The 14,785-nt window shown below is 40.4% G+C and overlaps 1 long non-coding RNA gene across 10 annotated transcripts in view; it reads right to left on the minus strand.

Annotated features, from left to right (window-relative positions):
- Nucleotides 1–14,785, minus strand: part of LOC102724078 (uncharacterized) — a 187,103-nt gene extending 172,318 nt beyond the window's left edge. For 8 of the 10 annotated variants that reach the window (XR_007064566.1, XR_007064562.1, XR_007064560.1 and 5 more), the window contains exons 1-2: nt 14,317–14,706; nt 11,079–11,135 (exon numbers count right to left, since the gene is read on the minus strand). This is a non-coding gene — a long non-coding RNA (uncharacterized LOC102724078). Of the gene's footprint in view, nt 1–11,078; nt 11,136–14,316 lie in introns of all 10 variants that reach the window. The other 2 variants (XR_007064561.1, XR_007064568.1) reach the window with 1 other exon arrangement.

Genomic DNA, 14,785 nt, shown 5'->3' on the forward strand with positions numbered 1-14,785 from the left:
GTGAAAGAAGACAAAACAAAAGAAAACAAAACAAAGAAACAGAGAGAGAAGAGGAAGATAAAGTGTGAGTTCTAATGAGCTTTATTTTTCTAGGAACATGTCTTTTTCATATACATTTTCAAATGCAAGATACAAAATTGTATATAACATCGTCTTACCATTATGTAATGTTTTAGAAGACTATACTGAATTCCATGTATTATTTCTGTCATTGGTTGTGTCCTTGCCCCTTTTTCCTCAGTCAAGCTCACTGGTATTTATCAATTTCATGAGTAATAAGATTGGTATTATTCTTTCTTATATATTTAGCAAAATTTACTGGTGAAGCCTCTAGGTCTGGAGATATTGCAGAAGTAATATTTTTAATTTAAAAATGTATTTTCTAGGCCTGGCATGGTGGCTCACACCTGTAATCCGAGCACTTTCGGAGGCCAAGGAGGGTGGATCACCTGAGGTCAGGGGTTCAAGACCAGCCTGGCCAACATGATGAAACCCCGTCTCTACTAAAAATACAAAAACAAATTTGTCAGGGATGGTGGTGCATGCCTGTAATCCTAGCTACTTGGGAGGCTGAGAGGGGAGGACTGGCTGAACCTGGAAGGTGGAGGTTGCAGTGAGCCGAGATTGCGCCACTGCACACTCCAGCCTGGGCCACAAAGCGAGACTCCATCTAAAAAAAAAAAATGTATTTTCTTATTAGCCATTGGATTATTAATGTCTAATATGTCTTAGGTCAGTGTTGGTATGTTACATTCAAATTTTGAAAGGAACCACTTTTGGCCTTATTGAACCTCTCTATTACATGTTGTTTATGTTAATTAATTAATTAATTAATTAATTAATTAATTTTTGAGACACAGTCTCGCTCTGTTGCCAGGCTGGAGTGTGGTGGGCGATCTCAGCTCAATGCAACCTCTGCCTCCTGGGTTCAAGTGATTCTCCTGCCTCAGCCTCCCGAGTAGTTGGGACTACAAGCAGATGCCACCCTTTTTTTTTTTTTTTTTTTTCTGAGATGGAGTCTCACTCTGTCACCCAGGCTGGAGTGTAGTGGCGCCATCTCAGCTCACTGCAACCTCTGCCTCCCAGGTTCAAGCAATTCTCTGCCTCAGCCTCCTGAGTTGCTGGGATTACAGGTGCCTACCACCACACCCGGCTAATTTTTTGTATTTTTAGTAGAAATGGGGTTTCACCATCTTGGCCAGGCTGGTCTTGGAACTCCTGACCTCATGATCCACCCGCCTCGGCTTCCCAAAGTGCTGGGACTACAGGCGCGAGCCACCACACCCAGCCCAGTGCCCAGCTAATTTTTGTATTTTTAGTAGAGACAGGGTTTCACCATGTAGGCCAGGATGGTCTCAATCTCTTGACCTTGTGATCCGCCCGCCTTGGCCTCCCAAAGTGCTGGGATTACGGGCATTTATATTTTTCAGAGTACCTGTAGGAAATACATGGAACATGCAATTTAAATTATTTGAGAATAATAAAAGGACTTTTACGCAAGTATGGGCCAGGGTGGGAAAATCACAGGGATGGATAATACAGTATCCTGAGAGGTGACGCTGGGGTTATAATTACAACCTCTGGGTCCAAAAGGGCAAGGGAAGGAGCAACTGCAGAAAGCCAGCGCCAGAGGTCTGGCAGAGAGGGAGGCCTGAGAGGAGGCAGTTGGGCTGTCCACGTGGAGAGAGAGTGGGAGGAACCAATGTTACGGCCCCACACTCTTACCTTCTTCCAGGGCACCACAGAAAGCCCAAAGATGAAGGAGCCCACAGATATGGTCAGCCTCCCAAAGGGCAGATGTGAATTGAGAAAGGTCAACTGTAAGTCTGGAGGGGCAAACAGAAAGTGCTCAGCACAGGCTCCTCTTGCTCCTCTGTCTCCATACTTTTTCCAGGTAAAAACTCTGTGTCCTCATCACAGGAAAGGCAGCTTGACCATTTGAGGTAATGCTGATTCTGTCATATGCCCATGTAAAACATATACCCAGACCAGCATTCTCTAGCATACCCAGATGGATAACCTTAAAAAGTACTTCAGACACTAAAAACACTAGAACAAAGACTAAAGGATTAATGAAGATCAAAGCAGGAAGCCCAAAGTTTGACTAAAACGAGTTCCCAAAAGAGAGAACAAAGAAAATGGAGAGGTACAAATTGCCTAAAACAATGGATAAATGTATTTCAATGTTAAAGAAAGACAAGTGTCTTCAAGAAAAGGCCCACCAAGCTAAAAATATAAAAGAAGAAGATACAAATTGACCTTCATCTAAAGATAATATCATAACAAAAATATTCTAAAAATCTTTTGAAGAGAAAACAAGAAGGGAAGCTATAAGAAATTATACAAAGCTTGTCATTTGAGAGAAAAGCCACATTTTTAGTTGGAAAGTTTTAACTGTTAAAAGTCAGCTGTCTTGAAGTTAACCCAAAACTTTCATACAAGCACAATAAAATTGAAAGCTGATTTTAAAATTCATATGGAATTGAAAATATAAAAATATGCATGAAGCAATTTTGAAAGCAATCTTGCAAATCCAGGCCTTAAGAAATAAGGACTAATTAAGTCCTTATTTAAGAAAGAAGGACTTTTTCCTACCAGATAAAATAATAAAATGTCAAAACCTACTACTGAATTCATTAATTTTCCATAAATAAGTTTATGTAAAAACCACATATTACATAAAGTGTATTACTTTGAAAATACATTCTTTCAGTCTCCCATTTCATAAAATATATGTAGGATGGCAGGTATTCAAGGGTATTGTAGAAAAGATAAGAGACACTAAATATCATTACTGCTGTATCTTGATGAAGTAGGGGGTATCATGGCTAATGCATATGGCTGTGCCGGTCACACACTGCACAGCTCTAGAAGAGGTCTATGTGATTAACACTTCCTAATGTTTTTAGTAGACAGTTTGGCCTGTAAGCTGTGATGGCCCTGAATGAGGTCATCAGCTAAAAGACGGAGAGTATATCTCAGAATCTTCAACAATAGATTTTAGGTCCTATCATTAGTGGTTTAGGAGCATCCTTACATAAAATAAGACTGATGCCTCTGGCATCTTCAATTCCTTCACAAGCTCCAAGGAGGAAAATGAGGCTAATGTGCAGAATAAGGCAGAATTAAGAGAGAAAGCAGAGTGATGTTCACGCGGTGGTGGAATAAGAGCGTTCTACCATTATCCCCTAGCAGAAGCATCAAACTTGACAATTATCTATAAGAGCACTTTTGTGGGGTCCAAGAATCCAGCAGATAAAGTTTTAGCACGCCATCAGAACAAAAATCTGAGAATAGATGCACTGAAAAAGATAAGAAAAACAGTTTCACTTTACCTGCATTACCTTTCCTCCAAGGCATCATAGCTCAATGCCAAGAGAGATCATTGCAGTCCATGATTTCTCCTGGTGGGTGGGGAGAGTGCAAGCATGGTTCATGAGTGCCCAGCTCCCCCAGCTTTGTAGGATACTGAACAAGACACCCACTTTCTCATCTTATCCAAACTACAATGGTGATTGGTATGGTTTAGTGGTTGGAAGAGAACAGTGACAGGGAAGAGAGGTGGGGATCTAATTTACTGCTCTGTGATTCCATCAGGAAGTGCATCTATAAGGCACTTGGAACACATTGTGTTTGGACCCCCTGAACTGGTGCATGGGCACTCAAAATGTTCGGCACAACTCGCTCCCAAGATTGGTTCCCTAAATGCACCTGCGTGAACAGCAAATGCAAGCATTTCATGCAGGTATCTGTATCAACTATGCAGGGTTGGAGGAAGACACACAAACTTGAGCATTTCAGTGCACCACTCTAGAAAATCAAAACAGGAAGCTCTCAGCCCTGGCCTAGCTTTGCAAGATTGAAAGAAAGTGTATAATCTTAAGCATTTCCCTCCCCCAAAATGGATAAGAAGTGTGGAGTGGGTGAATCCACAGAAAAAGTCTGAGAGAGCCTCATAATCACTAACCAATCTGGTTGGTGAAGGTATTTATAGTAAGTAAAAACTGAAGGAAGTTACTCCTTCTTCAAATGGAAAGACAGCAGCAGAAGACTTCAAGAAACATGAAAAATCAAGAAAACTTGATTTTTCCCAAAGAAATTGAGATCTACAAATTGCCTGACAAAGAATTCAAAATAACTATTTTAATGAAGCTCAGTGAGCTACAAGAAAACATAGGTAGACAACTAAATAAAACAGAAAATAGGAATCAACAAAAGAATTCCAATGAATAGATAGAAATCATGAAAAGGAAACTGAACAGAAATCCTAGAGCTGAAGAACACAGTGAATGGAATTCAAAAAATGCAATAAAAACACCAACAGACTTGATCAAGCAGAAAAAAGAATCTGTGAACTTGAAGAAAAGTCATTTGAAAATATCCAGTTAGAAAAGGAAAATTTTTTTAAAAAAGAATGAAAAGGAATGAAGAAAACCGATGAGATTAGTGGAACACCATCAAGACAGCTAACATTTGCATTATGGATGTTCTAGAAGAAGAACAAAGACAGAAAGGGGAGAAAGCTTATTTAAAAAAATTATGGCTGAAAACTTCCAAAGTCTGGGGAGAAACCTGGACATTCAGGTATACAAAGCTTGCAATCTGTAATAAGGTTCAATCCAAAGAAGGCCTCACAAGTCACATTACAGGTTGAGCATCTCTAATCTAAAAACCTGAAATCTGAAATGCTTCAAAATCTGAAACTTTTTGAGAACTAAAATGACGCTTAAAGGAAATGCTCATTGGAACATTTCAGATTTCAGATTTTCAAATTAGGGATGCTCAACTGGTAAGTATAATGCAAATATTTCAAAATCTAAAACAATCTGAAATCTGAAACACTTCGATTCTATGCACTACAGATAAGGGATCCTTCACCTGCATAACGAATTGTCAAAAATTGAAGACACAGAAATTTGAAAGCAACAAGAAAAGAGGCTTGGCACATACAAGCAAACTCTGATAAGACTATTAGCAGATTTCTCAGCAGAAGCCTTACAGCCAGAAGATAGTAGAATTATATAGATATATTCAAACTGGTAAAAGAAAGAAAGATACTGCTAACCAAGAATATTTTACCTAAAAAAGTTGTTCTTCAAAAATGGAGATCTAAAGCCTTCTAAACAAACAAAAGCTGAGGAGTTCACCACTTTAGACCTGCTTTATAAGAAATGCTAGAGAGTTCTTCAAGATAAAATGAAACAAGGCTAATTAATGACATGAAAACATATGAAAGTATAAAACTGACAAATGGAAGTTTATCAGAATACTCTAATAATATTCTAATACTCTAATAAATTCAGAATATTCTAATACTGTAATGGTGTGTAAATCACTTAAAGTTTAAAAACAAAAGTATTAACAAAACTGTAAATACAATAGTCTGTGGATACATAATATTAAAAAGATATAAATTTTGACATCATAAACAAAAAATAAGGGGTGTAAAAGTATAGAGATTTTGTATGTGATCAAAGAAAATTTGTTATAAGCTTAAAATAGACTTTTATAACTAAAAGGTATTTCCTGTAAGCCTCACGGTAACCATAAACCAAAAACCTCTAGTTGATATATAGAAGAAAAAGAGAAAGGAATCAAAGCATACCACTCATTACAAAAAAATCATCAGTTCACAAAGGAAGATAGCAAGAGAGGATGAAACAAACAAAGAATCTACAAGGCAACTAGAAACCAATTAACAAAATGGCAATAGTAATTGCTTACCTATCAATAATTACTTTAAATATAAATTGCTTAAATACTCTAAAGATAGACTGCTCAATGGATTGAACACACACACACACACACACACACACACAATATGGTACCTACAACGGATTCACTTAAGCTTTAAGAACACACTTAGAGTCAATGTAAATAAGGAAGGTTATATTCTATGCAAATGGAAACCAAAAGAGAGTAGGAATAGCTAAATTTATACAAAATAAACTTTAAGTCAAAAACTCTCGTAAGATACAAAGAAGATCATCATATAATGATAAACAGGTCAATTCATCAGGGGATATAACAATTTCAAATATATATGCACCTAACATTACAGCACTTAAATTATATAAAGCAAATATTAATAAATCTGAAGGAAGAGACAGACTGGATACAATAATAGTAGAAAACTTTAATACCTCACTTTCAACAATGGACAAATTGTTCAGATAGAAAGTCAATGAGAAAATATTGTAATTGAACTGCATTTTAGACAAAAAGAGGGCCTAACAGACATATACAATGCATTCTGTCAAAAGGCAACAGAAGACTTTTTTTCTTGTACATATAAAATTATTTCCAAATTACTTTAAGTATTAGGCCACAAAACACGTTTTAACAAATTTAAGACGATTGAAACTGCATCAAGAATATCTTCTGATTACAATGGTATGAAACTAGAAATCAATAAAAAGAAAAACTGGAAAACTCACAAATATATGCAAATTAAACAACATTCTTCTGAGCAACCAAAGGGTAAGTGGTAAATTTTCCAAGAGGGAAATTTAAAAAGATCTTGATACAAATCAAAATGGAAACACAGCATACAAAAACTTATGGGCTAGGCCGGGTGTAGTGACTCATGCCTTTAATCCCAGTACTGTGGGAGGCCAAGGTGGGCAAATCACCTGAGGTCAAGAGTTCGAGACCAGCCTGGCCAACATGGTGAAATCTTGTCTCTACTAAAAATACAAAAATTAGCTGGGCATGGTGGCATGTGCCTGTAATCCCATTTACTTGGGAGGCTGAGACAGGAGAATCACTTGAACCCAGGAGGCGAAGGTTGCAGTGAGCAGAGATCATGCCACTGCACTCCAGCCTGAGCAACAGAGTGAGACACCATCCCAAAAATAAATAAATAAATAAATAAATAAATAATAAATTATGGGCTACAGCAAAAGCAATTCTAAGAGAGAAACTTTTAGTGATAAAATCTTACGTGAAGAAAAAAGAAAGATATTAAATAAGTAAGATAACCTTATACCTCAAACACTAGAAAAAGAAGAACAAACTCCAATGTTAGAAAGAAGAAGGAAATCTTAAAGATCAGAGCTGAAAAACATGAAGTAGGGACTAGAAAAACAACAGAAAAGTAAACTGAGTTGTTTCTTAAAAGACATACAAAATTCACCTTTTGCTGGACTAAGATAAAATGTGACAGGACTCAAATAAACAAAATCATAAATCAAAGTGGAGACTTGAAAACTAATACCACAGAAATAAGAAGGACCATAAGGGTCTATGATGAACAATTATATGCCATAAAAAAGATAACCTAAAAAAGTAGGTAAATTCCTAGAAACCATATCTTACCAAGTCCAAAGCATGAAGAAATGGAGAAACTAAACATACCAGTAATGATTAAGGATATCAATTTGGTTGTTTAAAATCTCCATCAAAAAGAAGTCTATGGGCCAGGAACAGTGGTTCATGCCTGTAATCCCAGCACTTTGGGAGGCCGAAGAGAGTGGATCACTTGAGGTCAGGAGTTCAAGACCAGCCTGGCCAACATGGTGAAACCCCGACTCTACTAAAAATACAAAAATTAGCCAGGTGCGGTGGTGCACACCTGTAATCCCAGCTACTCAGGAGGCTGAGGCACAAGAATCATATGGCTTCACTACTGAATTCTATCAAGCATTTAAAGAAGAATTAATGTCACTATATCCCAATTGCTTCAAAAAAACTGAAGATGATGGACCACTTCCAAACTCATTTTACTATGCCAGCATTACCCTGATATCAAAGCCAAACCAGAACACTACAAAAAAGAGAAAATCACAGACCAGTAACCCTGATGAAAACAGATCCAAATATCTTCCATAAAAGACTAGAAAACCAAATTCAATACCGCATTAAAATGGCCACAGTTCTGCAGGCTGTACAAGAAGCATGATGCCAGCATCTGCTTCTCCTGAGGGCTTTTGTGCTGTGTCAAAACATGGTGAAGAAGGTAAAAGGTGAGGCGGGCATATGTGAAATGAGAACAAACCCAAGGGGTATCCTGGATTTGTAACAACCTACTCCAAGGGGAACTAATTTATTACCCCAAAAACCAATCCAGTCTTGCAAGATGAGAACTCACTATTGCAAGATGGCACCAAGCCATTCATGAGACCCCAAACACCTGCCATGAGGCCCTACTTCCCAATACTACCAAATTGGGAATCAAATTTCAACATAAAATTTAGTGGGGCCAAATAAACCAAATCCATATCATACCACCATGATTAAGGAGATTTATCCCTGGGATGCAAGAATGATTCAACATACAAAAATCAGTAATTGTGATATGTCACATTAACAGCATAAAAGATAAACAACATATCATCATCTCAATAAATGCACAAAAAGCATTTGACAAAATTTGACATCCTTTCCATGATGAAAAAACGCTCAGAAAGGCTCACGCCTGTAATCCCAGCACTTTGAGAGGCTGAGGCAGGAAGATCGCTTGAGCCCAGGAGTTCAAGACCAGCCTGGGCAACATAGTGAAACCCTATCTCTAGTTAAAATAAACAAACAAATAAGAACATATTTCAACTTAACAATGGCCATTTATGACAACCCGACACCAACATATTTAATGGTAAAAAGCTTTCCCCCTCATATGAAGAACAAGGCAAGGATGCTCATACTCGTCCCTTTTTTCCCACATAGTACTAGAAGTCCTAGCCAAAGTGATTAAGCAACAAGGATCAATAAAAGGCATACACATTGGAAAGGAAGGCATACAACTGTTTGTTCACTGACATCATAATCTTTCATACGGGCATACTGCATTTTATTCTGCTTCACTTTATTGTACTCTGTAGATATTGCAGTTTTCCTTTTTTTTATTATTGTTTTTTGTTTTTTTTGTTTTGTTTTTTGTTTTACAACTGAAGGTTTTTGGCACCTCTGCATTAAGCAAGTAGATCAGCACCATTTTTTTCCAACAGCATGTGCTCACTTCATGTTTCTGTGTCACATTTCGGTAATTCTCACAATATTTTGAACACTTTCCATGACTTCAACACATCAACCTTCCGTCTCAAAAGAAAAGCATCCCATGCACAAACACACCATGTCCAAGGTTGTTCTGGGCTTGTTCCCACGTTATTTTAGGAGCCTAGAATATCTGCTTTTCACCAGTCCTAATCTGACATCTCCAAAGTCCAGTCTCCTACCTTTCTAGATTTCCCTCAAAGTTGCAGTCCCTTGTTTATTATTTTGTGAGGGGAAGATGAAAGGGTTCATGATCTTTAGTACAATGGCTTCCTGACCCACAGAAAAGGTTCAATGTTTTCTTGCACTTTATTCTACCTGAGCTAAACTGCATAAAAACATTAAACTCTCATTCTTTTTTTTTTTTTTTTTTTTTTTTGAGACAGAGTCTTGCTCTGTCATCCAGGCTGTAGTGCAGTGGCGTGATCTCAGCTCACTGCAAGCTCTGCCTCCTGGGTTCAGGCCATTCTCCTGCCTCAGCCTCCCAAGTAGCTGGGACTACAGGCGCCCACCACCACACCTGACTAATTTTTTGTATTTTCAGTAGAGACAGGGTTTCACCTTGTTAGCCAGGATGGTCTCGATCTCCTGACCTCATGATCCACCTGCCTCGGCCTCCCAAAGTGCTGGGATTACAGGCATGAGCCACCATGCCCAGCCTAAACTCTCATTCTAATTGGACAATTTTAAGAAGTATTTTACTCCCAGACTTATAAAACAAGCCTACAGCCAGGCACAGTGGTGCACGCATGTAATCCCAGCACTTTGGGAGGCCGAGGTGGTGGATCACTTGAGGCCAGGAGCTCAAGACCAGCCTGGGCAACAGAGCGAGACTCAAACTCTACAGAAAATTTAAAAAATTAGCTGGACGTGGGGCACCTGCCTGTAGTTCCAGCTACTCAGGAGGATTGCTTGAACCTGGGAGTTCAAGGTTGCAGTGAGCCGTGACCATGCTACTCCACTCCAGCCTGGGTGACAGGAGACCCTATCTTAAAAAAAACAAACAAAAACAAGCCCACAACACTACTTCTTTAGTTCTGAAGCACTGTAAAGTATATTTTAGATTAATAATTTCCAAACCAAGAAAATGAAAGCCTATATTAATTATAAGACCCCAAACAGAAAAAATCTTGTAAAACGATCAAGACCATAAAATTCACATACCTTCTATTTGGTCAATGCAGAGACACAGATCTTTGTTCCGGAGTTTGAATTTAAATGCAAAGCTTCAGAGCCTGAAAATGTCTAAAATTAGACCCATGACTGACAACTGGCCTAGGCTCAATGTCTTTGGAATGTGCTCTACTAAATTTGCTACCATTTGAATGTGTTCCCTCCAAAATTCAGGTGTTGCCAATGTGATGATATTAAGAGGTAGGACCTTTAGGAGGTGATTAGGCCAAGAGGGCTCCTTCCTCCTTAATGGGATTAAGGCCCTGATGAATGAGGCTTCACACATTGGACTAGCTTGCTCTCCTGCCCTTCTGCCTTCTGCCTTCTACCATGTGAGGTGGCAACAAGAAGGCCCTCAGACACCAAATGTTGGTATTTTCATCTTGGACTTCCCAGTCTCCAGAACTGTCAGAAAATAAATGTCTGTTCTTTATAAATTACCCAGTCTCTGGTATTCTGTTATAGCAGCATAAAACAGACTAAGAGAAAATTCCTTGATGATTTTTCAACAAGAGACAGTGTCACTACTTCTGGTGAGTAGTCCCTAACATGTTCTCAAATTCTCCTTTTATGCAAACATAACATTTTTTAAACTTAGTAGTTCCTTTTCCTAAAAATAACCAAATACAGGTTAAGGACTGATTAGTATTAAATATAAGTACAACTTTGGTGCTAAAAGTTAAGAGCTTTTGTTTTCCAGAAAATCAAATCCAAAGAATTCAGATAAAGCAATTTTCTCAAAGATGTATCATCAGTTAGAGGTAAAGCCAGAGGTGAGAAATTATATTCCATTCCAAATACAATGTGCTTTCAATTATTCCACATTAATAGTAGTTTACAAAGGAGATTTAGAGAATTCCTCAAATCAAAAATGACGACATTTATGAAATGTCATTCTTATATAAAATACCTACTTCAGCCATCTCCTCTTCTTCCTCTTCCTCTGAAGTCACTTCTTCTGTTGTCCCATTCTGAAACAGAGAAAGAATCTGCCAGGGCTACACAGGCTGAATACAGGGTGAGTCAATTAGAAGACCGGTGCCATAGCTTTAGGGACAAACTCTCAGCCATCTGTCACTGCAGTGCCACTAGCAGAGAGCTTATTAAAATTAAATGTTTATTTTTAAATCCAACTTTGATTTGACAAACAACAGTTATCAGCTTTTAAAAACGGAACAAAGAATAAAAGAATTAGGAATAAAGAAAAGCAATCAGTCAAATACAAAGCAAAACCGAAAAAAATGTTAAAATGTAATCTAATTTAAAATAAGAAAACATTTTACTTACATGGCTATGTGTATAAGATCAATGGCTTATTTTGTTTAAAATAAATATCACAAACTATCCATTCCTTAAAATAACTACCTTTTTAACTTTGAAAAGCCTGAATCATTACATATATTCAATTGCCTTACATTTTAAAAGATCAGATGTGTTATTTATAGACACTTGACAAAACTAAGAATTATGAAATGATTACCACCTTACTAAAAGGCAAATTTTAGTTTTAAAAACATGTTATTTACTACAAAGTACCTCCCTACAAGACAGAATTTACCAACTGACACAATTTACAATGATCAAGTTTAGAAATGAATTTAATGGGGTTTTAAGAAGGGCCTTCATACACAGTTTGGGCAAAGTTCAAAAGATAAGCTTCCTGGCCTGGGCACAGTATATAAATGCTTCTTTAACCATGAAGGCCAGTACAGGTTAAAACCCAGAATATGTAGAAGATCAAAAAACTAGGATTCAGAGATCAAGTAAGACCAACAAAGGTCTCAGCAGTATCTAAGCATCTGTTCTTAGATACTCTGATGGAGTAATTCTTAAGAAAAACAAACCCATGATCACAGAGGGTATTAGAACTCTTCTGGATCAGTCAGCTGGAGAAAGCCATGTAGATAAACATACCCATGAAGAATTAACTTATATTTGCTTTAAATCTGTATCTCTTTAGACATTCTTTGTCTTCTAAAAACTAAATGGAAAAAGGAAGCAAGCAGCAGCTTCCAAAATGTAATTCACCCCTTCTTCATTTCCCTAAATTGTTATACTCCAAATTAAACTATTCTGGGTATCTAAAGAATATATTCTTAGCCTAAAAGTCCCAAAGACTTTGGTTGCATCAGTGATTGAAAGAGCATTTTTGAAATGCTCATTTCAAAGCATACCCAGAGAATCTGTTTTTGGTTTTGTTTTTTTTTGAGACGGAGTCTTGCTCTGTTGCCAGGCTGGAGTGCAGTGGCACCATCTCGGCTCACTGCCACCTCCGCCTCCTGGGTGCAAGCGATTCTCCTGCCTCAGCCTCCCAAGTAGCTGGGACTACAGGCGCGTGCCACGATGCCCAGCTAATTTTTGTAGTTTTAGTAGAGACGGGGTTTCACCATGTTGACCAGGATGGTCTCGATCTCTTGACCTCATGATCCGCCCACCTCGGCCTCCCAAAGTGCTGGGGAGAATGTGTTTTTAAAAAGCTCTCTGAGGTGATTCTGACACGCATCCACATCTGTAACCATCAGCCCAGTTACTATCCTTCATTTTGCAAATGATAAAGCTGAGCCCCCACCCCTCAAAAAGGGTAATTTAATCAAAACAAAAAGTGAGTTAGGGTTGTAAAATCCTAAGATGAATTTCATTTCAAGATGTGGCCTGGTCCTCTTTCCAAAATCCCACCAAAATGACAGTATTTTACTAAACAGAATAAGTCTGACACAGCAGCAGAAAAATAACAGATACAAGGAGAATACCCTTAGTGAACCAAAACTACAGGGACATGCCGGAAGACACAAAGCAGATGGAATTAGACTGCTGGGCTTGAGAAGGCCACAAACCCAATCCAAATAATGGAGGGACCACTTTTTTCCAGAAGAATCTAACATTCTTTACCGTACTTGTCCCAACTACAGTTGGTAAGAATCACCCTCCCATATAAGAAGCCTATCTTGATGGCCTCTTACTATGAGTGTGAAAACCAGAGGGAAAAGACAAAATGTTTTTTAATATAACTCAACACAGCAGCAAAATCTTAAAACAGACTCCATCTCTGCCTTTTAACTCAGGAGCTAGAAAGCTCTCCTGCCAGCACCTCCCCATCCTAGTGTCACAGGCGGAGCATGGGTCTGCAAACCAGGAGAGGGAGGCCACAGCAGAAAAGAATGACAATTCTGAAGACACTTGTGATGGTTAATACTCAGAGTCAACTTGATTGGATTGAAGGAATCCCAGCACTTCCCAGCACTTCGGGAGGCAGAGGTGGGTCATTTGAGGTCAGGAGTTTGAGACCAGCCTGGCCAACATGGTGAAACCCCGTCTTTACTAAAGACACAGAAGTTAGCCAGGCGTGGTGGCGGGCGCCTGTAATCCCAGCTACTCCGGAGGCTGAGGCAGGAGAATAGCTTTAACCCGTGGACTGTCAAGAGACGTAGGCTGCAGTGAGCCGAGATTGCGCCACTGCATTCCAGCCTGGGCGACAGAGTGAGGCTTTGTCTAAAAAAAAAAAAAAAAAAAGTTGTTTTTTTTTGTTTTGTTTTGTTTTTGTTTTTGTTTTTTGAGAGAAGTCTCGCTCTTATCCCCCAGGTTTGAGTGCAATGGCTCGATCTCGGCTCACTGCAACCTCCGCCTCCCGGGTTCAAACGATTCTCCTGCCTCTGCCTCCCAAGTAGCTGGGATTAAGTAGCCTGCCACCACGCCGGGCTAATTTTTGTATTTTTTAGTAGAGATAGGGTTTCACCATGTTAGCCAGGCTGGTTTCGAACACCGAAAATCTTAAAGGCCTTTGCCTTTCCCCGCCTGGGCTCAAAAGCCGCCATTCCCCGCCCTGTCGCGGTCCCCGGAGCAGGCCGGCTGACTGAGGGCGACCATGGGTCCCGAGAGGGCTCCCGCCACCACGGGCTCCCACCTCGGGGGGCGGCGACGGGGGCTGAGAGGGGCCAGTGGCCCCCAAGACAGCCCCATGCGAGGAGCCGGAGAGACAGACGCGCCCGCCGCCTCCTCCCACCCAAGCCTCGCGCAGTCCCGGGGCGGGCCGGGCCAGTTGCGGGAGAAAGGGGGGGGGAGCCTCGCCGGGGCAGGTTCCCCTTTGTCCCGGGACTCCGGGCACCCCCTCTCCGCCCTCCTCCTGCCCCGCGAGGCCGCCGCCGGGCGCCTCACCTCATGTTGCAGTGGAGCGTGAGCCGCAGCTGAGCCTCCTGGTTCTCGTGGAAGATAGACGCCAGCAACTTCAGTTTGGCCTTGAATCTTGACACAGACATCTTCCCCTCATCTCCGGCGGGAAGGGCGTGGAAGGGGAGCCGTCTGGAGCCGCTGTCATGGCCACGACCACCCCGCGGGGCCGCCTGGCCGAGCTCTTGTGAGCCTAAAGACCCGCCTCTTCCTGCAGCCTCCACTCTCCTGGGAGCGCGGCTGGAAAATGGCAAGGGGCACCAGGTCTTGGCGGGAGCTGTGTGGCGGCCTGGGGGGCTGCTCCCTTTGTAGCCGACTCCACCGACAGGAGGCGCGGCCCCTGTCAAGCCGCAGCTTAAAAGGGCAACAGGACAACAGAACCACCGCCCCCGCTACCGCCTGGGAAAAGGCTGCCCCTACCCCGCCTCCGTCCCCGTCGCCCCTACCCCCTCGGCGC

The sequence above is a fragment of the Homo sapiens genome, chromosome 15 (assembly GCF_000001405.40).
Source record: "Homo sapiens chromosome 15, GRCh38.p14 Primary Assembly".
Taxonomy (NCBI): domain Eukaryota; kingdom Metazoa; phylum Chordata; class Mammalia; order Primates; family Hominidae; genus Homo; species Homo sapiens.